This window comes from Homo sapiens, chromosome 7, assembly GCF_000001405.40.
Source record: "Homo sapiens chromosome 7, GRCh38.p14 Primary Assembly".
Taxonomy (NCBI): Eukaryota; Metazoa; Chordata; class Mammalia; order Primates; family Hominidae; genus Homo; species Homo sapiens.
The window spans coordinates 30,931,906-30,958,612 of record NC_000007.14 but is presented as its reverse complement, the minus strand read 5'-3'; the positions used below and the strand labels follow the sequence as shown (position 1 = coordinate 30,958,612).

The 26,707-nt window shown below is 40.8% G+C and overlaps 1 annotated feature.

The window, feature by feature from the left end:
- Nucleotides 19,562-19,711: an enhancer, noted in NCBI's record as "active region_25820". NCBI's record gives its function as "activates an Ori minimal core promoter by ATAC-STARR-seq in GM12878 lymphoblastoid cells {active_cell/tissue: GM12878}" and the evidence as "EXISTENCE:reporter gene assay evidence [ECO:0000049][PMID:35858748]".

The following is a 26,707-nucleotide window of genomic DNA, read 5'->3' as shown; positions in this document are numbered from 1 at the left end:
TTTGGCCTCTGAAAGTGCTGGGATTACAGGCATGAGCCACCGCGCCTGGCCTGCTCTGATAAGAGCTCTTTTCAAACTTATGTCTTATCCTTCTTAGTGCCTCCAACTAGATCCTGTTCAGACACATTACAATAAGTTAGTACCAGTTTTTTCAGTGCTAAAAAATTTTGAAACCTATGCATAGTTTTTTCATAATATTTATTTTCCATGAGCTTTCTGGAGACCCCTCACATCAACATGGAGATGTCTTAAAAATATATATTGAGGAACTGCTTCCAGCCAAGATGGAGTAACAGGAACTGTTACCCTCCTACCTTAACAACAAAAATTTCAACCAAAATATACAAAACCTTTTACTTTTAGACATTAGTAGACAAGCTGATCCCTACAAGCCAGTTTTTTGTTCTTTGTTTTTCCCTAGAGGCAATTTCCAGGCCACAGCTCAAGAAGAGAAACCCAAACATAGTCTGGTGATTTTTATAAGTAAAGGAAATAAAGATTAGTGACTGAGAAAGTCAAGCTTGGTGAAATTTTTGAAGCGGAGCACTAGAGAGAGAACCATGACACAGAGACAGAGTTCCACAATTGTGAAAACAGGTCCTCCCAATGTTTTCACCTTGCAGTCTTTGGCTGGATACCTATCTGAGAATGTGTGAGAAGAAACTAAGGCTGGAGAAAGAATAACAGGAATGGAGTAGGCAGAAAATGCACAAAACTCACATAGGATTAAAAATAGTCTGTGGTATCATTAGCCCAAGTGGAAAAAATAAGACGTGTAACACACAGGGCATGAATGTATAATAGTAATGACTTAGTAGTGTGATGAAATTAACCTTAGCGTAAGGTTGCTCTGGACCCATTCTAACAAAGCTTAAGTGCAAACCTTAAAAAGATCCAAAATATAACTTCACTGAAAAAAAAAATCCAACACCACTTAAATAAACAAAATAAAATATAGAAATCAACGATGTAAAATTCACAACGTCTGACATCCAATAAAAAATTTATCAAGCAGGCAAGGAAGTAAAAAACGATAACTCATAACCAAGGGAAAAATAAATCAATAGAAACAGACCCAGGTCTGACAAAGATGGTGAAATTAGCAGCCGCAGATGTTAAAACAATTATTACAAATAAGCCTCATATGTTTTACAAAGAGTAAAACGTGGTCATAGTAAATAGAGAAGGAAGATATTTTTAAAAGACCAAAATTCAATTTATTAAAATAAAACATACAATATCTGAAATGAAAAAAATAATACACTGGTTGCAACTAATAGCAGATTAGACACTGCAGAATGAAGAGCAATGAGCTTGAAGACGACTCATTTAAACTATGCAGAATGAAATGCAAAGAGGAAGAAAAGACTGGGTAAAAACTGGAAAAAAACTTTTAAAAAATAACAGAGTGTAAATTAATTATGGAACAATATCAAGGGGTCTAATATATATGGAACTAAAGTCACAGAAGGAAGGGAGGTTCAGAAAAATATTTGAATAACAAAATGGCTGACCTTTACCAAAGTTGATAAAAAAATATATATCAAGGATTCAAGGAGTTCAATGAACAATATAAGCAATAAACTAAAAACACTCCAAGGCACATGATAATTATTATAAATTACTGAAAACAGTAATGAAGAGAAAATCTTATCAGCCACCAAAGGGGAAAAGACAAATTGTGTACAGCGGAACAAAAATAAGAATGACCACAGATTCTCATCAGAAACTATGCAAATCAGAAGACAGTGGAGAGATATTTTTAAAGCACTGACAGAAAAAAACTTTCAAACTGCATCTATTTATTAATGAAAATATCTTTCAAATATGGGGGCAAAGACTTTAAAGAGAAATCAAAGATGAGATAATTCATTTTCAGCAGAGCTGCACTACAGGAAATGCCTAAGGAACTTTTTCAAGCCAAAAGGAAAATGAGAACAAATGAAAATTTGGAACTACACTAAAGAATGAAAAATGGCCAGGCACAGTAGCTCATGCCTGTAATCCCAGTACTTTGGGAGGCTGAAAAGGGAAGATTGCTTGAGGCCAGGAGCTCAAGACCAGCCCCGGAAATGTAAGTGAGACCCCCTTCTCTACCAAAAAAAAAAAAAAAAGAAAGAAAAGTATTAATTAGCCAGGTATGGTGGCACGCATCTGTAGTCCCAGCTACTGAAGAGGCTAAGGCATGAAGATTGCTTGAGCCCAAGAGTCCAAGGCTGCAGTGAGCTATGATTGTGCTACTGCACTCCAGCCTGGGTGACAGAGTGAGACCCCATCTCAAAAAGAAAAGAAAAGGAAAAAACAAAAGAGGAGAGGAGGTGAGGGGAGGGGAGATGAGGGAAGAGAAGGGAAGGGAAGCAGAGACTAGAAATGTGAATAAAACTGAAAATAAAAGGTCTTCTTTCTCATTTTACACTGTTTAGAAGATAATTGATCTTTATTAATATAGATGTTAAAATACTCAACAAAATACTAGCAAAACAAATGTAACCACATATTAAGAGGATTATACAACATGGCCAAGTGGAATTTATCCCAACAATTCAAGGGTAGCTCAATATTTGAAAATTAATCAGTGTAATACACCATGTTAATAGAATAAATTTTTTGAAAAAGATAATCTCAAATGATGCAGATTAAGTATGTGACAAAATCCAACACCATTTCAAGATTAAAAACACTCAGTATATTAGGAATAGAAGGGTACTTCCCTAACATAATGAAGGCCATATATGAAAAAAAAAAAAAAAACCCACAGTTTGCACTCAGTTACACTCAGTGAAAGACTGAAAATCCCCCCTGCCCTCACCGAGATCAGGAACAAGACAGACTTCTTGCTTTCACCACTTTTATTCAACATAGTATTAGAAGTACTAGCCAGAGTAATTAGGCAAAAAAAAAAAAAAAGAAATAAAAAACATCCAAATTAGAAAGGAAAAAATAAAATTATTTGTTTGCAAATGACATGATCTTATATGTAGAAAACCCTAAAGAATCCACAAAAAAAACTGTTAGAATTAATAAAAAAATTCAGGGCCATACACTTATCTGCATTAGTTCAAATCCTGCATCTGCCTATTACTATCTTAATCACTCTGTGCTTCAGTTTTTCCTTCTCTAAAATGCGGATAATAAGATAATCTAAAAGGTTCTATGTGGGGATGAAATACATTGATTCATATAAAGGTGTTAATCAACTAGTCACGGGCACATAAAGCACATATGTTTGCTGTTATGTCACGTCTTACTGCTTCTTTTTGACAAAAGTGTCTTGGAAAAAGTATTTGAAATTTCTTATACTAGAATTTAACTTTAAAATTTTGTCTAGATGGCTTTATTTTGGTAATGATATTGAAATTCTAATACCAGACAAGTACTATGACGACTCAGGCACCCAGACTAAGTAACAAATAAAATAGTCTCTCCGGAAAGGAGCTGAGCCAAGCAGGGAGTTGGAAACCATACATGTTAAGCACCCGTGATAACAAAAAGGGTAGGAGTGGTGCAGAACACCAACTACTATGTAAATCGTGTAAACTTCCTTGGCTAGTGCTGTACTCCCCAAGCATTTGCTATGTAAATGCCAACTATGTCTGTGTGAAATAAAAACTTGGACTATCTTAAAGCTTTTTTTGTTTTTTCAGAATTCAAAATCATTTTTGTGGTTGCTGAGGATAAAATTTAGACTATAATATTTCTTTTTATTCATTAAAAAACAAATTCAGAAAAGTTTAAGAATACAAAATTAACATGCAAACTTTAGTTCTATTACTGTACATTAACAATGAGTGCTCTGAAAAGCAAATTAAGAAAACTATTCTGTTTACAGTAGCATCAAAAAGAATAAAATAGTTTGGAATAAATTTAATCAAAGAAGTGAAATACTTTTACATAGCAAACTACACAACTGCTGAAAGAAATTAGAGATCTAAAGCAAGGGAAATGTATCCCCTGTTCATGGACTGGATGACATAATATTGTTAAGAGGACAATATCACCCAAAGTAATATATGGATTCAATGCAATATCTGTAAAAAATTTTATTGCCATTGTTTTCAGATATAGAAAACTCCATACAAAAATTTATATGGAGTTTCAACAGACCCCAAAAAGTAAAAACAATCTTGTAACAAAGCCAAAACTGGAAGTAAGCTGGAAGTCTCACATTTCTAAAATTCAAATCTACAAAGCTATGGTAATCAAAACAATGTAGTGCTGGCACAAAGATGGATATATAGACCAATGAATGGAATACAGAGCCAGACATAAACCCTCACATATATGGCCAATTTATTTTTGACAAGGCTGTGAAGGTCGTTCAGTGGGGAAAAGTCAGTCTTTTCAACAAACAATGTTGAGAAAACTGGATGCTCATATGCAAAAGAATGAAGTTAGACCTTTACTTTACACCCTATACAAAATGTAACTCAAAATAAATGGATAAAGATCTAAATTTAAGAGCCAAAACTGTTAAATGAAAACATAAGGGAAAATCTTCATTACCTTGGGTTTAGCAATGGTTAATTAAGTATGATACCAAAAGTATAGGCAACAAAAGAAAAAATAGATAAATTGGGCATTGCCAAAATTAAAAACTTATGGGAATCTAAGAACATAATCAAGAGAGTGAAAAGACAATCCACAGAATCAGAGAAAATGTTTGCAAATAATATATCTGATAAAGCATTAATATCCAGGATATATAAAGAGCACTGTGATGGTTAATATTAAGTGTCAACTTGATTGGATTGAAGGATGCAAAGTATTGTTTCTGAGTGTATCTGGATGTTTCTGGGTGTTTCCAGAAGAGGTTAACATTTGAGTCAGTGGACTGGGAGAAGAAGACTCACCCTCAGCAAGATCCACCCACACTGTGGACAGGCACCAGCCAATCAGCTGCCAGCATGGCTAGAAAAAGCAAGCAGAAGAAAATGGAAAAAGTTGACTTGATGAGTCTTCCAGTCTTCATCTTCCACCCATGATGGATGCTTCCTCCCCTCAAACATCAGAACTCGGAGTCTTATGTCTGAGGACAGGAGGCATCCAGCATTGGAGAGAGATGACTTTGGACTCTTGGACTTACACTAATGGTTTGCCACAAGCTCTCAAGCCTTGGCCACAGAATGAAGGCTGCACTGTTGACTTCCCTACTTTCGAAGTTTTCGATCTTGGACTGAGCCACTACCGGCTTCCTTGCCCCTCAACTTGCAGACGGTCTATTGTGGGACTTCACCTTGTGATCACGTGAGTCAATTATCCTTAATAAACTCCCTTTCATATATACATATATTGTATTAGTTTTGGCCCTCTAGAGAACCCTGACTAAAACAGATTTTGGTACCAGGAGTGGGATACTGCTATAAAGATACTTGAAAATATGGAAGTGACTTTGGAACTGGGTAACAGGCAGAGGTTGGAACAGTTTGGAGGACTTGGAAGAAGACAGGAATATGTGGGAAAGTTTGAAACTTTCTAGAGACTAGTTGAATGGTTTTGACCAAAATGCTGATAATGATGTGGACAATGAAGTCCAGGCTGAGGTGGAATCAGATGGAGATGAGGAACTTCTTGGGAACTGGAGCAAAGGTCACTCTTGCTATGCTTTAGCAAAGAGAGTGGGACATTTTGCCCCTGCCCTAGAGATCTGTGGAACTTTGAACTTGAGAGAGATTACATGAAATTGGAACTTATGTTTAAAAGGGAAGCAGAGCATTAAAGTTTGGAAAATTTGCAGCCTGACAATACAATAGAAAAAAAATAACCTATTTTTCTGGAGAGAAATTCAAGCTGGCGACAAAAATTTGCAGAAGCAATGAGGAGCAATGTTAAGAACCAAGACAATGGGGAAAATGTCTCCAGGGCATGTCAGAGACTTTCATGGCAGCTCCTCCCTTCACAGACCCAGGGGCCTAGAAGGGAAAAATGGTTTCATGGGTCAGACCCACAGTCCCCACTCCTGCTCTGTGCAGCCTCAAGATTTGGTGCCCTGTATCCCAGCCATGGCTTAAAGGTGCCAACATATAGTCCCACAGTTGCTTCAGAGGATGTAAGCCCCAAGCCTTGGCAGCTTCCACATGGTGTTGGGCCTGCAGGAGTCAAGAATTGAGGTTTTGGAAAACTCCACCTAGATTTCAGAGGAAGTACGGAAATGCCTGGATGTCCAGCAGAGGTCTGTTGCAGGGGTGAAGCCCTCATGGAGACCCTCTGCTAGGACAGTACAAGGGGGAAATGTGGGATTGGAGCTCCCACACAGAGTCCCCACTGGGGCACTGCCTAGTGGGGCTATGAGAAGAAGGCCACCATCCTTCAGACCCCAGAAAGATAGATCCACCAACAGCTTGCACTGTGTGCCTGGAAAAGCTACAGACACTCAATGCCAGCCATGAAAGCAGCTGGAATGGGGGACTGTACCCTGCAAAGCCACAGAGGCAGAGCTCCCCAAGGCCATAGGAGCCCACTTTTTGCATCACCATTCCCTGGATGTGAGACATGGAGTCAAAGGAGATTATTTTGGAGCTTTAGGATTTAATGACTGCCCTGTTGGATATTGGACTTGCATGAGGCCTGTAACCCCTTTGTTTTGGCCAATTTCTCCCATTTGGAATTGAAGCATTTATCCAATGTCTGTACCTCCATTGTATCTTGGAAGTAAATAAACTGAGTCTGATTTTACAGGCTCCTGGGCCTTGTCTCACATAAGACTTTGGACTTGGACTATTTAGTTAATGCTAAAATGAGTCAAGACTTCGGGGGACTGTTGGGAAGGCATGATTGATTTTGAAATGTGAGAACATGGGATTTGAGAGGGGAGAGGCCAAGGTGAAATGATATGGTTAGGCTTTGTGTCCCGACCCATATCTCATCTAGAATTGTAATCCCCAGGTAGGGAGAGAGCTTGTGGGAAGTGATTGGATTATGAAGGTGAATTATGAGGTTGATTATTATGCTGTTCCCATGATAATGAGTGAATTCTCTCAAGATCTGATGGTTTTATAAATGTTAGTTTTTCCTGTGCTGACACATGCTCTCTCTTGCCTGCTGCCATGTAAGATGTGCCTGCTTCCCCTTCTAACATGATTGTAAGTTTCCTGAGGTCTCCCCCACCATGAGGAACTGTGAGTCAATTAAATCTCTCTTTTTTTTTTTTTATAAATTACTCAGTCTTGAGTATGTCTTTAAAGCAGTGTGAGAATAGACTAAGGCAAGAACATGCAACTCAACAATAAGAAACTAAACAATCCAATTCAAAAATAGGCAAAGGACCTGAAAGACATTTCTCCGAAGATTACACCACTGAAAAAATGCTTAACATTATTAGTCATTAGGGAAATACAAATCAAAACCAGAATGAGATAGAACTACTCTGTTTGACATTGCTATAAAGAATAACTGAGCTTGGGTAATCTATAAAGAAAAGAGGTTTATTTCATTCACAGTTCTGAAGGCTGTATAAGAAACATGGCACCAGCATCTTGTGAGGGCCTCAAACTGCTTCCACTCATAACAGAAGGTGAATGGGAGCTGGCATGTGCAGAGATCACAAAGTAAGAGAAGAAGCAAGGGGAGAATGTGCCAGGCTCTTTTAAACAACCAACTTTTGTGGAAACTAATAAAGTGAGAACCAGTTCACCCACCCCCACCAGGGAGGGCATTGATCTATTCATGAGGGATCTGCTCCCATGACCCAAACCATTGGACCATTAGGCCCCACCTTTAACATTGGGAATCCGATTTTAACTTGAGGTTTGGAGGATTCAAATAAACTATAGTATTCCATACCTGGACCCCCAAATCTCATGTCTTTCTCATGTAGAGAATATAATCATTCCTTCCCAATAGTCTTCAAAAGTCTTAACTTGTTTCACACCAACTTTAAAGTCCAAAGTCCAAAATCTCATCTGAGACTCAAAGCGGGTTTCTTACAGATATGATCCCATAAAATCAAAAGCAAGTTATTTACTTCCAAGATACAATGACAGAGCAAACATTGGGCAAACATTTCCATTCCAAAAAGGAGAAATAAGACAAAAGCAAGGGGTAACAGTCCCTATGCAAGTTCAAAACTCAGCAGGGCATACATGAAATTTTAAAGCTAAAAAAAATTCTCCTTTGACTCCAGTCCTACATCCTAGCCCCACTGGTTCAAGGAGTGAAATCTCAAAGCCTTGGGCAGCCACACCCTCATGGCTTTTCTGCAAACAGCCCTGTGGCTTCCACCATGGGTTGGACTTGAATGCCTGTGGCTTTTCCAGGCTGAGGTGTCATGCTGCTGGTGGATCAATAATTCTCAGGTCTGGAGGACAGCAGTCCTGCTTCCACATAGCCACTAGGCAGTGCCCAAGTGGGGACTCTCTGCAGGGGTTCCAACTTTATATTTCCAAGTAGCATTGCCTTAGTAGAGTCATTCTGTTGGGGTTCCACTCCTTTAGCAGGCATCCTGGCTTTCAGATACATTCTGTGAAATGTAAGTGAAAGCTGCCAAGCCTCCACCGCTCTGGCATTCTGTGCACCTGCAGACGTAACACCACATGGAAGCCATGAAGGTTTATAGCTGCACCCTTCAGAGAAGCACCTCAAACAGTACCTGAAGCCATTTGACCCTCAGCTGGAGTCAGAGTGGCTGGGATGCAGGAAGCAGTATCCTCAGGCAACATAGGGCAACAGTGCCACAGACCTCTCCCCCAAAATTATTCTGTCCTTTTAGGTCTCTGAGCCTATGCTGAGAGGTGCACCTTGAAGATTTCTGAAATGCGTTCAGGAACTTTTTTCCATTGTCTTGACTATTAGCACCTGGCTACCATTTTTTTAAGTTATAGATTCCCTTTTATCTATGCTAATCTCTCTAGCAAGAGGTTGCTTTGCAGCACCCTTGGATTTCTCTCCTGAAAATGCTCTTTCCTTCCCTACCACATGGCCAGGCTGAGAATTTTCCACATTTTTCTGATCTGATTCCCTTTTAATCATAAATTCAACTTTTAGGTCATTTCTTTGCTCCCACATCTGATCATAAGCCACTAAAAGCAACACTGGCACTTCTTGAATGCTTTGCCACTTAGACATTTCTTCCACTAGATACCCTAGAACATTACTCTTAAGTTTGGTCATCCACAAATCCTAGGGCATGGACACAATGCCCTAGGCATTGACAAGTTCTTTAACAAGGATGACCTTTGCTCCAGTTCCCCATAAGTTCTTCATTTCTGTCTGAGACCTTGTTAGCCTGGCCTTTACCCTCTATATTTCTATCAGCATTTTTGAAACCACCACTTAACAAATCTTGAAGAAGTTTCAAACTTTTCCTGATATTTTTATCTTCTTCTGAGCCCTCCAAACTCTCCCAACTTCTGCCCATTACCCAGTTCCAAAGCTGTTTCCACATTTTTAGGTATCTTTATAGCAACATCCCACTCCTCCGTAACCAATTTTCTGCCTTAGTTCATTTGTGCTGCTATAAAGAAATACCTGAAGCTGGGTAATCTATAAAGAAAAGAGGTTTCTTTGGTTAATGGTTCTGCAGGCTGTACAAGAATCACAGCACCAGCATAGGCACCTAGTGAGGGCTTCGGACTGCTTCCACTCATGGCAGAAGGTGAATGGGATCTAACATGTGCAGGGATCACGGAGTGGAAGAGGAAGCAAGAAGCAAAGGGGCCAGGCTCTTTTAAATAACCAGCTCTCACAGGAACTAACAGAGTGAGTACTCACCCACCACCCCCAAAGGGAGGACATTAATATGTCCTCCATGAGGGAGCTGCCCTCATGACCCAAATACCTCCCATTAGGCCCCATCTCCAACATTGGGGATCAGATTTCTACATGAAATTTGGAAGGGTCAAACGAACGTAACAATGGCAACTTTATATCCACTAGGGCGGTTATTTTTTTTAAAAAAATTAAGGAAAATACCAAGTGTTGATGAGGATGCTGAGAAATCAGAACTCTCAGGCATTGTTAGTGGAAATGTAAATGCACAGCTGCTGTGGAAAACAGTTTGTCAGTTTCTCAAAAAGGTAAACGTTGAACTACCATATGACCCAGCAATTCCACTCATATATATATATATATACACACACACACATATATATACACATATATATATGTACACACACACACAAACACACATACACGTATATATGAATGAAATTTAAAGGAGAGATGCCAACAGATATTTGTACACCAATATTTATAGCAACATTATTTATGATAGCCAAAGGCGGGTGACCATCAACAAATGAATGAATAAACAAAATGTGATTTATTATACCTACAATGGAATATTATTTAACCATAAAAAGGAATGAAATTCTGATATATGCCACAACATGGATGAACCTTGAACACATTATGCTAAATGACATAAGGCAAACACAAAAGGACAAAGACTGTATAACTCCATTTATATGAGGTATCTAGAAATGACAAATTTATAGACATAGAAAATAGAATATAAATCACCAAAGTCTGGAGAAATGAAATAATGAGGAGTTGTTGCTTTAATGAGTACAGAGTTTCTGTTTGATATGATTAAAAGTTAGATGGTGAAGATGTTTCCACAACATTATGAATGTATTTAATGCCACTAAACCGTACATTTTTAAATGGCTAAAGTGGCAAATTATGTCATGTATATTTTAACCACAATTTTAAAAGTGAAAAAAAGAGATAATTGATTGATTGCTTAAAGCACAACTAACAGTTAATGTTGTGGAGTTTGTGGCCTAGGCAGAAGTAAAAAGTATGAAAACATGGCAAAAAGGATTGAAGGAGGAAAAGAGAAGTATATAATTGTAAAGTTTTTATTCTATATAAAGCAGTATAATATAATTTGAAGGTAAACTGTTATGTATATTTGAAATCTGTGAGGTTCTACTTTTAACGAAATAAAACAAAGAGATATGATTAATTAGTCAATAGTAGAGATAAGATAAATCTTATAAAAACGATTAATCAAAAAAAGGAAAAGAAGCAAGACAAAACAGAAAGCTGATGAGACAAAGGGCAAATAGCAAAGTTGTAGGAATAAATCAAACAACATCAATCAATAAATTACATGTAAATGACATTACTCCAGTTAAAGAGATTGTCAGATGGAAAACAAAATCAAGACCCAACTACATGCTGCCTCCAAGAAACCCATTTTAAATATAAAGCAAAGATAGGTTGAAAGTTAAACAAAGGAAACAGACCACGCAAACGTAACTGAAAGAAAGTTAAAGTGACTATGTTAATATCAGACAAAGTAAATTTCAGTAAAGTAAACAAGAAATAGTAGCAAGGATAAATACGGACATTCCATAATGATAACGGAATCAACCTATCAAGAGGTCATAACAACCCTAAATGTGTGTGTACCTAATAACAAAACTTTAAAATGTATGAAGAAAGCACAGAAGGAATTTTTTTAAAAAAAGAAATAGACAAATCCAAAATTATAGTCTGAGGTTTCAGTACTCCTGGGTAATTAATAAAGCAAATATAAGACCATAGAAGCAATGACGCCCCAGTAGCAATGAGCATATCTAATGCCCAGATCTTGGTGCGTAATATCATTCTACAATAAAAGGAATCAGGAATCCTTTAAAAAATGACCAAATTTAACTCTGGGGCAGGAAATATACAGGATGAATCTGGAACTTCTTATAGTTACAGGAAGTAAGGAAGCACTCAAAAGTTCCACAATAATGGATTATATCAGAGGGACACAGGAGCCAACAGAAAGAGCTCCCAGTGGCCAAAGCTGAAACAATATGAGCAACAAAATTAATTAAATAATATTATATTATAACCCAGAGTATCAAATATATATCCATGAATCCAAACTTATATGAATAAACAATTAGATAAATAGATAAAAGGGAAGAATAGACTAATGGCCTATGCAGACTTCCAAATAATTTATGTAGCTACCCCAGCCTCAAAAAGTGGAGCATAACTCTCCATGCCTTAAGCATAGGCTTCCCTTACCAACTTCCTTCCAAAGAGCACAAATGGGAAGGAGGAAAAAACTTTACACTGGAGAAAATTTACAAACACTGTATCAGCCAACTGATTAAGGTTAATATTAACTACGATAAACTACACTGATAGTATATGCTCTTGATATGGTATGATAACAACTGCACTTTACCTCTGTGGTCTTTCTCCCACAAATCCAGTCTAAGTATGAGGAAAACATCAGACAAATCCCATTTGTCTTAGTCTGCTCAAGCTTTCAAAACAAAAATACCATAGGCTGGGGGGTTTTAACAATAAACATTTATTTCTCTGGAGGCTGGGAAGTCCAAGATCAAGGTGTCAGCAGATTCGGTGTCTGGTGGGTGCCCTCTTTTTGGTTCATAGACAGCCATCTTCTTGGTGGAAAGGACAAGTTAGCTCTCTGGGGTCTCTTTTATAAGGACATTAATCTTGTTCATGAGAGCTCCACTCTCATGGCCTAATCATCTCCCAAAGGCCCCACCCCCTAATATCATCACATTGAGGGTTAGGATTTCAGAAACATATGAATCTGGGGGGAATGACAAACATTCATCCCACCACATCATTAGAAGAGCATTGTACAAAATACTACCAATATTCCCTAAAACTGTCAAGGTCATCGATAACAAGGAAAATCTGAAAAACTGTCATAGCCCAAAGGAGACTGAGGAAATACGAAGAGTAAATATAATGTACTGCCCTAGATGGAATCCTGAAACAGAAAAAGGATATTACATTAAAAACTAAAGAAATCTGAATAAAGTATAGACTTCAGTTAATAATAATGTATCAACATTTGTTCATTAGTTGCAACAAAGGTATCACACTATTATAAGATGTTAAAAATAGGGGAAACTGGGTGTGAAGTAGATGGCAACTTTCTGTACTACCTTTGCAATTTTTCCGTAAATCTAAAACTATTCTAAAACTAAGAGTTCATTTTAAATATAACAGTTCATTTTAAAAAGTAAGAAAGGATATAGATAATTTGAACAACACAACCAATTTGAACAAATTGAGACATATAGAAAAACTTTCATAAATATTTTATCTAATAAAACTTTTATCTAGTATTTTGTACAAGAGAATACACATTCTTCTCAAGTACACACAGAATATTAACCATGATAGAGCATATTCTGGGCTACAAAACAAGTCTCAATCAATTGATAAGAATTGAAATCATACAAAGTATTTCTCTGACCATAATAGAATTACACCAGATATCACTAATAAAAAGGTGTCTAGAAAATCCCCAAATATCTGGAAGTTGAACTGTATACTCTAAATACTATATTGGTTGGAGAAGAAATCACAAGGGACATTAGTAGATATTTTGAACTGATTGATAAGAAAAATATAATGCATTAAAATCTATGGGGTGCAGCTAAAGCAGTGCTTAGAGGGAAATTTGTAGCACCAAATGCTTACATTTAAAAGGAAGAAATATCGAAACCAATGACCTAATGTCCCACCACAAAAATAACAGAAAAGGCCAACTTATGTACAAAATAAGCATAAGAAAGGATATAATAAAGATAGCATAAATCAATGAAATAGGAAAAAGAAAAACAACAAAGAAAGCAAATGAAACCAAGCCTGCTTTTTTAGAAAGATCATTGAAGTTAATAAATATCTGGAAAAACTCCTCAGGGGAAAAGAAAGACAGGTTACCAATTTCAGGAAGGAAAAAAATGTTATCACTATAAATCCTATGAATGTTGAAAGAATAATAAAGGAATATTATGAACAATTGTACGTCATTAATTCAACAACTTACATGAAATAGACTAATTATGTGAAAGACTTTAATAAAACTCAAGAAAAAAATTATAATCTGAATAGACATGCATAATTAAGAAATCTAATTTGTCTTTTAAAAAATCTTTCAAATAAGTAAACTTCAACATTAGAAGCTTTCACTGGTGAATTTTTGCAAACATTTAAAGAAGAAATAATATCCATTTTTTTTACAATCTCTCCCAGAAAAAACGAGGAAGGGGTGCTTTCCCTAGTCAGCCAATGAAGTCAGCATTGCTCTGATACTAAAACCAGGCATTCCAACAGAAGAAAATTGCAGACCAACATCTCTTAAAAACATACACAAAATAACCTTCAACAAAGTATTCGCAACTTGAATCCAGAAATACATACATATATATTTCTGGCTCAAAATTCAAGGTCCAATCAATATAATTCACTATATTAACAAACAAAAGAAGAAAAACCATATTATTATCTCTAGATACGTAGAAGAAAGCTTTTGACAAAATTTTACAACTGTTCATGACAAAAACTCTCAGTGAACTAGGAATAAAAAGAAACTTCCTTTACCTGACAAAGGAGCACCTGTAAAACACCTACAGCCATTATGTTAAATGATGAAAGAGTGATGCTTTCCTCCTAAAACAGGGAACAAAAGAAAAATGTCCTCTTTCACTACTCCTATTCAACATCAAGTTAGAAGCCAGGAAATAGAAATAAGAGGTATACAGATTTCAATGAAAAAATAAAACTGGCTGTTTTGGTTGAAACCCTAATTTATGTAGAAAATCCAAATAAATCTACAGAAAAACATCCTGGAACTAATAAGCAGATTTAGCAATGTTGCAAGATCCAAGTATACATACAAAATCAATTATATTTCCATGTATTTGCAATTAACAATCAGAAATCAAACTTTTAAAAGTGCTACATACAATAGCTTCATAAAATAAAATACTTATAGATAAATATAACAAAATATGCTGAAAACTATAAAACATAAGTGAAAGTAATAAAAACCTGAAAAAAATAGGGAGTTATATTGTGTTCATGGATTAAAAGATCCAATATTACTAAGATGCAAATTATCCTCAATTTGATCTATAGATTCAACATAATCCCAGTTAGCTGTTTTCATAGATATAATTGAGCTGATTCTAATATTTGAATGGATAAACAAAGAAACTAAAATAGATAACACAATTCTGGGAATTGTGGGAAAAAGTTAAGGACACACTATCCAATTTTAACACCTACTACATAGCTACAGGGATCATGAGAGTGTGGTATTGGCAAAAGGATAGGCACATAGATGAATGGAACAAAATAGAAAGCCCAGAAATAGACCCACACAAATACAGTTAACTGATTTTTAAATAAAGGTGCAAAGTCAATTTAGTGGAGAAAGTACAGTATTTTCCACACACGGTGCTGGAACAACTGAACATTTGTTTGGAAAAGCAAAAATGAACTTCAATCCATACCTCACAACTTTTACAGACTTAACTCAAAATGGATCATAGACCTAAATTTAAACATAAAATAATAAATGACCTAGAAGAAAATATGGAAAAAATCTGCATGTTCTTGGGCTTGGGAAAGACTTGTTAGATACAATACTAAAACCACAATCCATGTGAGAAAAAATCTTGATAAATTAGACTTTAACAAAATTCTACAAACTTTTGCTTTGCAAGGAGAAGAAAAAGACAAGCCACAGACTGAGAGAAAATATTTGCAAATTAAATGCCCAAAAAGGAACTTGTATGTAGAATACATAAAGAACATCAAAACTCAACATTAAGAAAGACAATGCAATTTTTTAAATCAACAAAAGAATTGAAGAGTCACTTCATAAAGAAAGATGCACAGATGGTAAGTAACATCTAAAAGATGCTCAACGTCATATTTCATTAGGGAAATGCAAATGCAAGCCACAAGCTACAAACCACAAACTATACACCTACTAGGATGGCTAAAATTTAAAAATGGACAAAACCAAGTGTTTGCCAAGATGCAAAGCAACTGGAACTCTCTGAGAACTCCAATGAGAATGTAAAATAGTACAACCAATTTACAAAACACTTTAGCAGTTTATTTTAAAGTTAAATATATACTTACTATCAATCCTTCTCCTGGGTATTTACCTAAGTGAATCAAACATTTATGCTTACCTTTACACAGATGTTTACAGTAGCTTTATTCATAATTATTAAAAACTGGAAATCACCTTTCTTTCAACAGATGAATGGTTAAACAGACTGTGGAACAGTGACACAATATAATATGACTCATCAATAAAGAGTAATAGACTATTGATTTATGCGACAATGTAAATGAATCTTAAATCCACTTTGGTAGGTGAAAGAAAGAAACCAAACCCCGAAGGCTACATACTATATTATTCAGTTTATGTGACACTCTAGGAAAGACAAAAACTGTAGAGACAGAAAGCAGATAAGTAATTGCCTAGGGTCGGGAGTGGGGGAAAGGTTTGACTACAAAAGTACAGCATGAGGGAATTGGGAGGGTTAACAAACCCTTCTATATATAAAGTGGTTTTGGATATAAGATTCCATGCATTTGCCAAAACCCATAGACCTGTACACCTCAAAGAGTGAATATTACTGTATGCAAATAGTTAAAAACAAAACAAAACAAAACAGGACGTCAGGGGTTCCCAAGGTGGAATGCAGACTGTGACAATGAAACTGACTGTATTGCAAACATATGACACAATCACCCTGGAGATGAAAAAGAAAGGATTGGATCTAAGCACTTCGCCTGGATGCCGTGAGATTAAAGATTAAAAGAATGGTCTATAAACACTGTACTCTATTTGTCAAGTTTGTTTTTCACAAAAGTATGAGGTAACAAGTCGAAAAATATTTTACTTGTACAGTAGAACAGGGCAAATAAGTAAATATACTGTAGATAATAAGATCCAAAGAAAGATTGTAGTTAATGAGAGCTAAAGTTACAAATAAGTAAAGGGAAAATGCCAGAATGAACACATTGTGCTGGATTGCAGTCACAAGTGTCAGTGTAAAGTTACGCCTTTCTTTAATAGATAGATGATGGATCAATAAATTGGTGGATTGATCGATTGATCAATTAATAGATAGACAATTTGCATACAAATGAATTAGTACACGTTCATATACTTCCTAGCTCTGTCTGATGAGAGAGCCACCTGCATAGAAGCTGGCACACAGATCTTGATATGTATTAATGATATTTACCATTCTCCAATTAAAAAAACTAAGATTGCTTGACGAAGTTGATTCCAGGTCTGAGACAAAAATAATTCAAGATAATCCTGGAGCATCTCATGGTTCCAGAAAGATGGAGAATGCTCAAAAAAAAAGGAAAGAAAAGAAGGCAGAGGAGGGAGGCTGGCAGCATGCCGAAGAACACAGGAGCAAACCTAGAGGAGCTCCCAACAGCCAAGGCTGGCCATCTGAGCAACCAAATAGGATTGGATTACAATCCAAGGAGTAAAATAAATAGCCATCAGTTCACACATAATAAATAAATGATGGAGAAGAGAAAACTCTTGCAGAAGGATTCCAGTTAATAAAGGTAGCTGGAATGAGAAGCATAGAAAATTGCCATTAGAACACCATAGTAATAATTGCTGCAGGCAAACTCACCAATGAATGCAAAAGATTTGTTTGTTTCTTTCATTTTGTTTGTTTTTGGTTTTTGTTTTGGGGACTGCATCTCACTCTGTTGCCCAGGCTGGAGTGCAGTGGCATGATCATAGCTCACTGCAGTTTCTAACTCCTGGGCTCAAGCCATCCTCCTGCCTCAGCCTCCTGAGTAGCTGGGACTACAAGCACATGCCACTATGCACTATGCTTGTCTAATTTTTTTTTTTTTTTTTTGAGATGAGGGCTTGCTTTGTTCCCGATGCTGGTCTTAAACCCCTGGCCTCAAGCAATCTTTCCACCTTGGCCTCCCGAAGTGCTGGCATTACAGGATTGAGGAAAGCAAAAGTTTAAGGAAAGAAAGGATAGTTGTTTGGTCTCAAAGTATCTCCCTCAAACTTTCAAACCAAATGCAAAGGGAAAAAATTTATAACTTTTTAGTGAAGAAACCCATCAGACACCAAGTGATGAAGGTTACCATTACCAGCGATGGTGTCCTATTCCTATCATGTGCCTCATGAAATGATGTAACCAGAAGGGCATTTGGTATTCTTCCCCCAAATCCACAACCTCAATGCAATAATGAGAAAACATCTGACAAATCCAAGTTGAGGGACACTGAACAAAATACTTGACTGTCACAGATAGAGGAAACCAAGAGGACATGGTCAAATCCTGGAACAGAAAAAGAACATTAGTGGAATCTGAATAAGGTCTGTGGTTTAGGTATAATATCATACTAATGTTAATTTCTTAGTTTTGATAATTGTACTGTGGTTATGTGAGACGTTGCCATGAATGGAACTTTTGTACTATCTTTGCAATTGTTCTGTAAGTCTAAAATTATTTCAAAATAAAAAGTTAAAGAGACATAGTTACATTAAGAAGATGAAAAGACAAAACACTGAAAGAGGAAAAATATTTCTAAAATATATGTCTTACAAAGGACTCACACCCAGACTATATACAATATTCCTACAACTTAATAATAAGGAGATAATTGATTTTAAATGAGTGGACAAGATTTGAATAGACACTTAACCAAAGAAGATGTGAATGGAAAATAAGCACATTTAAAGATATTCAACACCATAAGCCATTAGAGAAATATAAATTTCATCATAAGATCCTACTACACACCTACTAGAATGGCTTAAAGTAAAAACCTGACAACACAAGTCTTGGCAAGGATGTGGAGCAACTAAAACTCTCTTACGTTGCTGGTAGGAATGCAAAATGGTACAGCTTCTGTAGAAAACCATTCAGCAGATGAACATAAAGCTAAACATACACTTATACCACGCAACAATCCTTCCAAGTATTTCCCCAAGAAAAACAAAAGTATACGTTCACGCAAGGACTTGTACTAGAACGTTCATAGGAGCTTCATTCATAGTGGACAAAACCTGGGAACACCCCCAAATGTTCATCACTCATGAATGGATAAGTAAATTATGGTATGTGCATACAGTGGAATATTACTTAGTAATAAAAAGGAACAAAGTACTTACACACAACTATATAAATGAATCTCAAAAGCATTATAAAAGCTAAGTGAAAGACATCAGACTCAAAAACTCCATGCAGGACGATTCCATCTATATGAAATTCTATAAAAAGTAAAACTGTGGCAACTGAAGGCAGATGAGAGGTTGCCAGGGCGCAGAGGTGAGGTTGTGAATTGACTGGAAAGTGTTAAGAGAGAATATTTCAGGAATGTCAGAAATCTATACAGTGACCATGATGGTGGTTACACTATTGGACACATTTGTTAAAATTCATCAAATTGAACACATAAAATTGGTGATTTTTATAATACCTAAATTTATTCCTCAATAAAGCTGATTAACATTTATAGATTTTTAGCAGAAAAAAGCAAGTTGTAGAATGTATGTGCTTTTTGAATTTAAAAAACCCTATATTTGCATATATTTTAATGTCTAGAACTATAAAAATAGGGAAAAGAGGAAAGGGATGGGATGTAGGGGATGGTCAAATGGAACATGATCTTTAATTTCAGTATTTCAATTGTTAAGAAAAATTTATTTGTACCCTCACTACTTGCACAATTAAAATTATTTAAATTTAATATAGGGGGTAGCTGATGTTATGGTTTTTCCATGTAATCTTGGCGGATATGAGAGATATCAGCCGAGATTTTAAGCTGGCCTGTCTATCCCATTAGCAGATGGACTCCTTGACCGCGGGGACTGACAAGTTCTCAGAGAGCACGTCTGGTGGATGGTGAAACTCCCAGGGTTTAGTCCCACCTGTACTGGTGCCCCCTGGTGGTGATGACGCGCAACTGCCGCCTCTTCCCGACGGCGACAAGCAGCTCCCGGTCTCAGGATGGCGCCAGGCATGCGCAGGCTGAAGGGTGCCCAGACCTGGGGCCGGGGGCTTGGAGCTGGTGGATGGGCCTTGGGGATCAGCAGTTTCTGGATATTTGGCCCAAATCTCCCTTGCTGGGGGACCTGGAAGCGACTCCTTTGGCTGGGGTGTAGTCCCTCTCCTGCGCCCCACGCTGTCCTTCCTTCAGGCGCAGGCAGCAGTCCTGCAGAGACACAGGGGCCTGGGACTTCAGAACGGATCCCCGCAGACAGGAGCCGCCAGCCCCAGCCCTCACTTAGCTGTGGCTCTGCAGGGCTGCAGGGGCTTGGCGGCCTGGAGCCATCTGCCGCTCTCACGTGATCCCCTGAGAGACCCAGCTCTAAACAGGGCTGCAGTCAGGACTGCCAGGGCTAGGCTCTGGCCAGGGTCAGGTGCAGGACAAGGACCAGGGATGAGAGTCCTGGGGACACCCTTAATAATGACACTTAGATGCTTTAGGTTTTTAAGACTTTTAAGTCAAGAGCCAGGCACAGTGGCTCACGCCTGTAATCCCAGAGACTCAGGAAGCTGAGGTGGGAGGATCACTTGAGGCCAGGAGTTCGAGACCAGCCTGGGCAACACAGCGGACCTCGTCTCTAAAAAAAATTAATTAATTAAAAATAAAAGAAAAAAAGACTTTTAAGTCAACTTTGCAGTTCCAAAGTGAATTTGCTGCTGAACAGAAATGATGAAACTGAGGAAGGGAATCCCTTATCCCCCACTGGGGCAGAGGCACCATCCTTAAGGGCCTGCCTAGCCCCACTCCCCCACAGGCCGTGGCTCCTTCCTCAGATGCCTCTGTCTCCTTCTCCCAGCAGCAGACTCAACCCCTGCAGTCATTTAGGAATGTCCAAAAGTGTCCTATCCAGGGATCATGATGATTGTCACCCTATGGTCCACGTTTGTTAAAAATCACCAAAGTGTACACATAAACTTGCTGAATTTTGTTGTGTGTAAATTATTCCTCAATAAAGCTGATTAAAATATAAAGATTTTTAGTAGAAAAAGCAAGTGGCAGAATGTGGAGGATTTTTTCCATTAAAAAAAACTATATTTGTGTATATGAGAGTTTTTTAATGTCTGGAAGTTTCCACATCAAAATCATTAAAAATAGGGAAAAATGGGGGGAAAGCAGGCAAAAGAGGTAGCACCTGTTAGGGGGAGGGGTGAGGGCGAGGTGTGGGCAGGCAGGGGTGTGGAAGAAACACTGGCCTTCAGCCAGACAATGTGAGAACAATGTGACACTTTGTTTTCCTCCAACCGAAGACGGTGGTTTGATTTGTGCATGGATAACTCATTTCTTTATAAACTTTAAACTTCACTGCAGACTTTGCCCTGTTTCTCCTAGAGCAGGCTTTCTCTATCCAGCCCTGTGAGGGGAGTGGGGCTAGAGAGGTGAGATATATACACCTGTGAGATACACAGACCCACCTGTTCCTCGCATGTGCCCAGCATGGAGAATTGGCCTCATTTTGCAAAAGGAGAAAGTGAAGTACCCAGGGTCTCACAGGAAATTGTTCTCTGAGCTGGGACTTGGACTCAGGCCCCTAGGTTCCCAGCCTTGGGTGCTGTCTGCAGCCCAAGTTGCATGCTGTAACTCCCCTCGAAGCTTTGGTTCAAAATTTCAATGTGCCTATTTTGGTTTGAAGTGGTTATTACACACTAACTCAAGGCACAGAGGAAGCAGAGCCCCCAGAGCATGGTGGGAGCATCCTGGGGAAAGGTGCCTCCCAGGCCCCAGCTACACCCCACACATGCACTGTCCCACCTGGCCCCACTCCCCAGGCATTCCAGATGAGGCAAAGCACCACCTCCAGGCCAGGGAGGGACTGGGACACCACAGACATTCCAGAGAAAGGACCACTTCACCCACTCTCCTTACAGGTGGGGAGACTGAGGACAAGAGAGGGCAGGAGGCCCACCCAGGGTCACACAGCCAATTAGAAGCAAAGCAAGGACTCAGGCCCAGGTTGGTGCCCCTGGCCAGTCACTCCCTGCAGAGCAACATACAGATGGGAGAAGAGGCAGTGTCTAAAAATGTGGCCCCAGGTCTGGGTAGGGACAGAGCTAGACAGCTAGGGCTAGAGTGCTGAGGAAGGGGCCAGCTGGACTGCTGCAGGAGAGGAAGTTTGAGGGCCTGGAGGCTGGGGCAGACACAGTGGGCTTTGTGCTCTCCCTGTGGTCAGGAGTGGGAAACAGTGGCCGGGAAGAAATCAAGGGTGGTGAGTTCCCCAAAACAATGAACCACTGCCACAGGCACAGCATTGATGCATCTCCCAGAAACTGAAGATTGAGTGGACAGCCCAGAGGCTACCTACAGTATGCTCCCATTTTTATAAAGCTCAAAAATCAAGGAACAAATTATTGATTAGGTGTACAGGCATGAATACAAATGTTTTCTTTTTAAGCAAAGGAATGACAAACACAAAATTCAGGATAGTAGACACCTTTAGGGGATGCTAGGGGAGTGGGAGAGACGTACAAGCTAGATGCAAATTTTGGAAATGTTCCAGTTCCTGAATTGAGTGTTGGGATCATGAGTGTTTATTATGTTATTAAACATTATAATTTACATCTCCAATAATTCATACTTATTTAGCGCTTACTATGGGCCAGGCCCTTTAATAATCACTTTATGTATATTAGCTCATTTAATCTTCACACCAACCTCATGAAGTGGGTCATTTTCCAGATGAGGAAACTGAGGCACCAGTGATTTGTTGGAGTTCACACGCCTGATATCTGGCCCCAGATTCTGACCCAGGCAACCTGATTCCAGAGCCCTTGGTCTAAACCATTCTACTAAGTTCCATGTATTATTGTATAAGTAACAAACGTTTTATTATTTTAATCAAATAAAAAATTTAAAGTGTACTGGGAGAGGCAGGAAAGGAGGTAACCACCGTATCACAGGCAAGAGGGGCAGGGCCTGAGATGGAGAGAAAATCCCCCACCAACCCTCCCCTTCCCCAGGTTAAATTCCTCCCCTCCCTCACCCTCCCCTCCAACTGCCCAGCCTCTACCCTTTCTTCAAGGCTCCTCTCCCCGCAATAACCTCCCTCTTTTCTGACCCCTCTTCTCTGAGCACCGAGGGCTGATGATCCTGTGCTTTTGTTTACAAACCTGGGTGGCTTGGTGATGTGTACTGGTGTGGTCAAGATAAGCTGGACTCAGCATGGAAGACTTCATGGAGGAAGCAGCCCTGGTACCCTCTGGGAGGACCTGGAGGGCTAGACCAGAGCTCCGGCCCCTGGTGCCCCCTTCAGAGATGCTGAGCCTGGGGCTGGACACAGGGGATGCTAGAGTCAGCTCTGATCAGAGGAGGGGGCTGCCCCCAGGGTGATGGGGGGTGGTGAGTACCAGGAGCAGATGTACGTCTCCTGAGGCCTTCTCCTGGCCTCTCCCTGCAGCTCAACCGTCACCCTTCCCACCCAATCCATCCCTGCCCCACCCAGCTCCCTTATTTATAAACCATATGTCCCTGTGTCCCTGCCTGCCCCTACTGTTTGTCCAAAGCTTCAGCTGCTTCCCCTGATAACCCTAGGACAAGAGGTCCTGGAGAACTGGGAAGGGCCCAAGGGCAAGAGTAGTTCAGGGATGCTCCCCCGACCCCTGCTCAGGAACCTTCAATGGCTCCCCATAGACACTCCACGATCTGATGCACAGAACATGCTCAAAAATCAGTAGCTATCCCATGTAAAATTTTAATTTCAGTTTTTGCCCACAGGAGCTATTCCAGACTGCTTGGCCAAAGGCCTCAAAATCTACTGAGGAAATTCAGGTCCAGGGAGGGGAAGTGACTTGCTCTTGCTCACATAGCAAGGCCATCGGGCCCTCTCTACTCCACCGCCCTGCCTTTCTGCCCAACCATTATAGACAAAGGCAAAGAACTTAGTCCCAGACCTTTCCAGCTGTGTGACTTTGGGTGCTTGCCTAACCTCTCTGATTTAGAGTTTCTTCATCTATAAAATGCAAACATTGTCTGTTTTCTTCAATACCCAGCACCCAGAATGGTGCTTGACAAATAGTAAGAGCTTGATAAATATTTCTTGGATGAATGAATGAGTAATCCCTAACTCTCAGCTCATTTGTGAGTATCAAGCCAAGCAGTAAACATGAAATGCAGTTCCTGCGCGGTGCCAAATACACGGCAGGGACTTTGCAAACGGTGCTCCTTTTGCCCCCTCGCTGACCACGCTGAGGATTCTAGCCTCCCCTCTGACCCAAGTCAGGGACCCCTGATCTCCAAAGCCCAGACTCTATCCTGAAATCACAGGCACCCAGAGCTCTGAGTCTCATGAGTTTGCTCAGCTCCCCCAGGCCAGCCTCCTCCCCAGCAGCTCCTCTGGCCTCTGCTCCTACACCACAGGCCTTCCACTAGGCACCTGGGGAACCAGTGCCCCTGGCCTGGCCAGAATGCCCAGCCTACAAGGCCCGGGCCCCCTGAACACTGTTTTCTCCTCTTCTTTGTTCAGCGAATGTTTCTTTGCCCCTGGAACTGTCTCCTGGGACTCACAGTGGAAGAGAGGCCAGCAGGGATGGCGGTGCTCAGAGCAAGGACAGGTGAGCTGGCGATCGTGCCTGTGCTTAGGACCATTTGGGGGGCTGTAAAGGCCTTGGCAGGGATGGTGTAGGACTGTCCCCCATGGGCAGAGAAAAGCAGAAATGAGAAATGGTCACAGTAAAAGGCAATCAGAGGTGAGGGCCAACGCTAGCTCAGGGCAGCAGAAAGAGCTCCAGTCCCATCTCTGCGACTGAGGCCAGAGGTGACTTGGGGCAGGTCCCATCTCTCTGGCCTCAGTGTTCCCAGCTCTATGATGATGCAGGTGTCGGGGCTTTGGTTAAACCCCATCACCTCCAGCTCTCATCTGGCTTTCTCTTATCATGAACCCGAGTATCCCCACAGGCAGACACGGCGGTCCCAGGACAACCACGCCAACAGGAAGCTTCTGCCTCAGCCCCACCTGCTAAGGAGCCTAACTCCCTCCTCAATGCATTAAGCCCCAGAACCTGCCCTGCAGGGGTCCCCGAAGGATTAGCATCCAGCAGCAGAGGGTAGGGGCGGTGTGGGCACGTGGGCAGGGCTTTGAAGACGGTCTCCCTGGGAGTGCTAAGCTCTCAGCTTTGAAAATGGTTCCCCTGGGAGGACCCGGGAAAGGGGCCTCTCTGGCAGCTTCCCCACGAGTTGGGCTGAGGTGCCAGGGTGATGTTTCCACCCGGATAAGCCCCAGAGTGTATGGAATGAGAGCCAGGCCTGTGAGGGTCGCACGGGCTTCCTCCTCCCACAGGCGGGCAGGCAGGACTGGCTCTTGGCTCCTGCAGCAGGGCCAGAGAGAGGCCCCGCCACAGTGAGAGCACACAGCAGCCACCTCAGGCCTTCCTCTCAGGGCTGTGTTATGGGGGCCTCAGCACAAGGAGAGGCTGCCCAGGGTCACACAGCAAGGCAGCGGCAGGGGCAGCAGGTCCCCTCGGGTGAGTTCAGGCCTACCCCTTTTACAAGTGGACCGTCACAGTGGCCCCACCTAACGCTGGTCGCTGGGATGCCGGAGCCTCTGAGAAAGGTCCCCAGACCCCCGTCCCTCTGTGTGTCCCTGATAGTGAAGCTGAGCAAGCGTGGAGCCCGTGAGGTGTGATTTAGGGCAGAGCTGCAGGATATCAGCTGGGGTCTCAATAATAAGGCTCCAGGGCCAACACGTAGACTGCCGGGAGTGTCTTTCAGGACTCTCAAATTCAATCCCCATGTCTACATGGGGACACTGAGGCCGAGAAAGGAGAAGGGGCTCCTTCGAGGTGCCATGGTGAGTCAGTAGCAGAGGGGAGCCTGGAACTCTGGGCCCTGACTCCTAGCCCAGTGCTCACTCTACTTCCACTGGCTGCAGTGGCTCGGGAGCAAGGGAGTCTCGGTGTGCAGAGCCCATCCAGATGGGCTGGGATTGGCCTATTTTGGAAGCGTCTGGATGAGGCCGTAGCTCTGCCTGGGCTCACCCCCAGCCTGCACCACCTTTGCCCACAGCTCCAGGAGCTTGGCACGGACACCAGCCCCAGCTGGTTCCAGCACAATAGAAGGACAGTCAATGATTCATGGAGGCTTCGTTCCTGGGGACCTTCTCCCCCAGGAGAAGCTGCTGGCTCCTGTACAAGCTACCCCAGCAGGGCAGCACAGGGATTAATCAGTGATGGGCCTGGAGGGAGAGCGTGGGAGGGTCACAATCTCTTCCTCTCTCCTTCTCTTTCTCCCTGCTTCTCTCTGTCTCTCTGGCACACCCCATACCTGCCCCCTCTCCCCACTACCTCACCAGCACTATCACTGGGAACTCTAAACCTCACTTTCCTCCTTCTTCTCTCACACCTGCCCTCAGGAGAGGTTTTGATAGACTAAGCCACCCTGAGGCTTTATACAGGGCAATCTGAAAGCTAAGGGGCCCTCAGAGAAAACACCCAGGCCAGCATTTACAATGGGTGTTTTGTAGAAATCCAGTTGTCTGAAATGGTAATCCATGTCACTTCCGAAAGAAGGTTATGTGGACAAACAAGTTTGGTAAACGCTTGCTTAAATAAAATGAGTTCTTATTGAAGAACTTGTCAGAGCCTCTGCTCTGCTGACTCGAATGGTGAGGCTCCAAGAGGGTGATGTGGTTTCCAAACTTACCTCGCCACCCGTGAAAATCAGTCAATAGCTCCAAGAGCTGGGACCCTCACGGGGCGAGGACCACAGAGGGCAGGTGACTTCCCCAAGCCACTCCACTCAGGCCTTAGCCAGGAGCATGGGTGGCACCTATTGGTAAAGTCCCTCTGGCTGCTAAGGTGTTTCAAATCCAACTCTCCAGGATATTTCCCTCCAGAAAAATCTCCCCGAGGGCGGCCTGGGTAGCTTCACACTTAGGGAGAAAGAAGGAAAGGGGCAGGGGTCTGGAACCCTCTGAATTTTCTGGAATCGAAACTGCAAG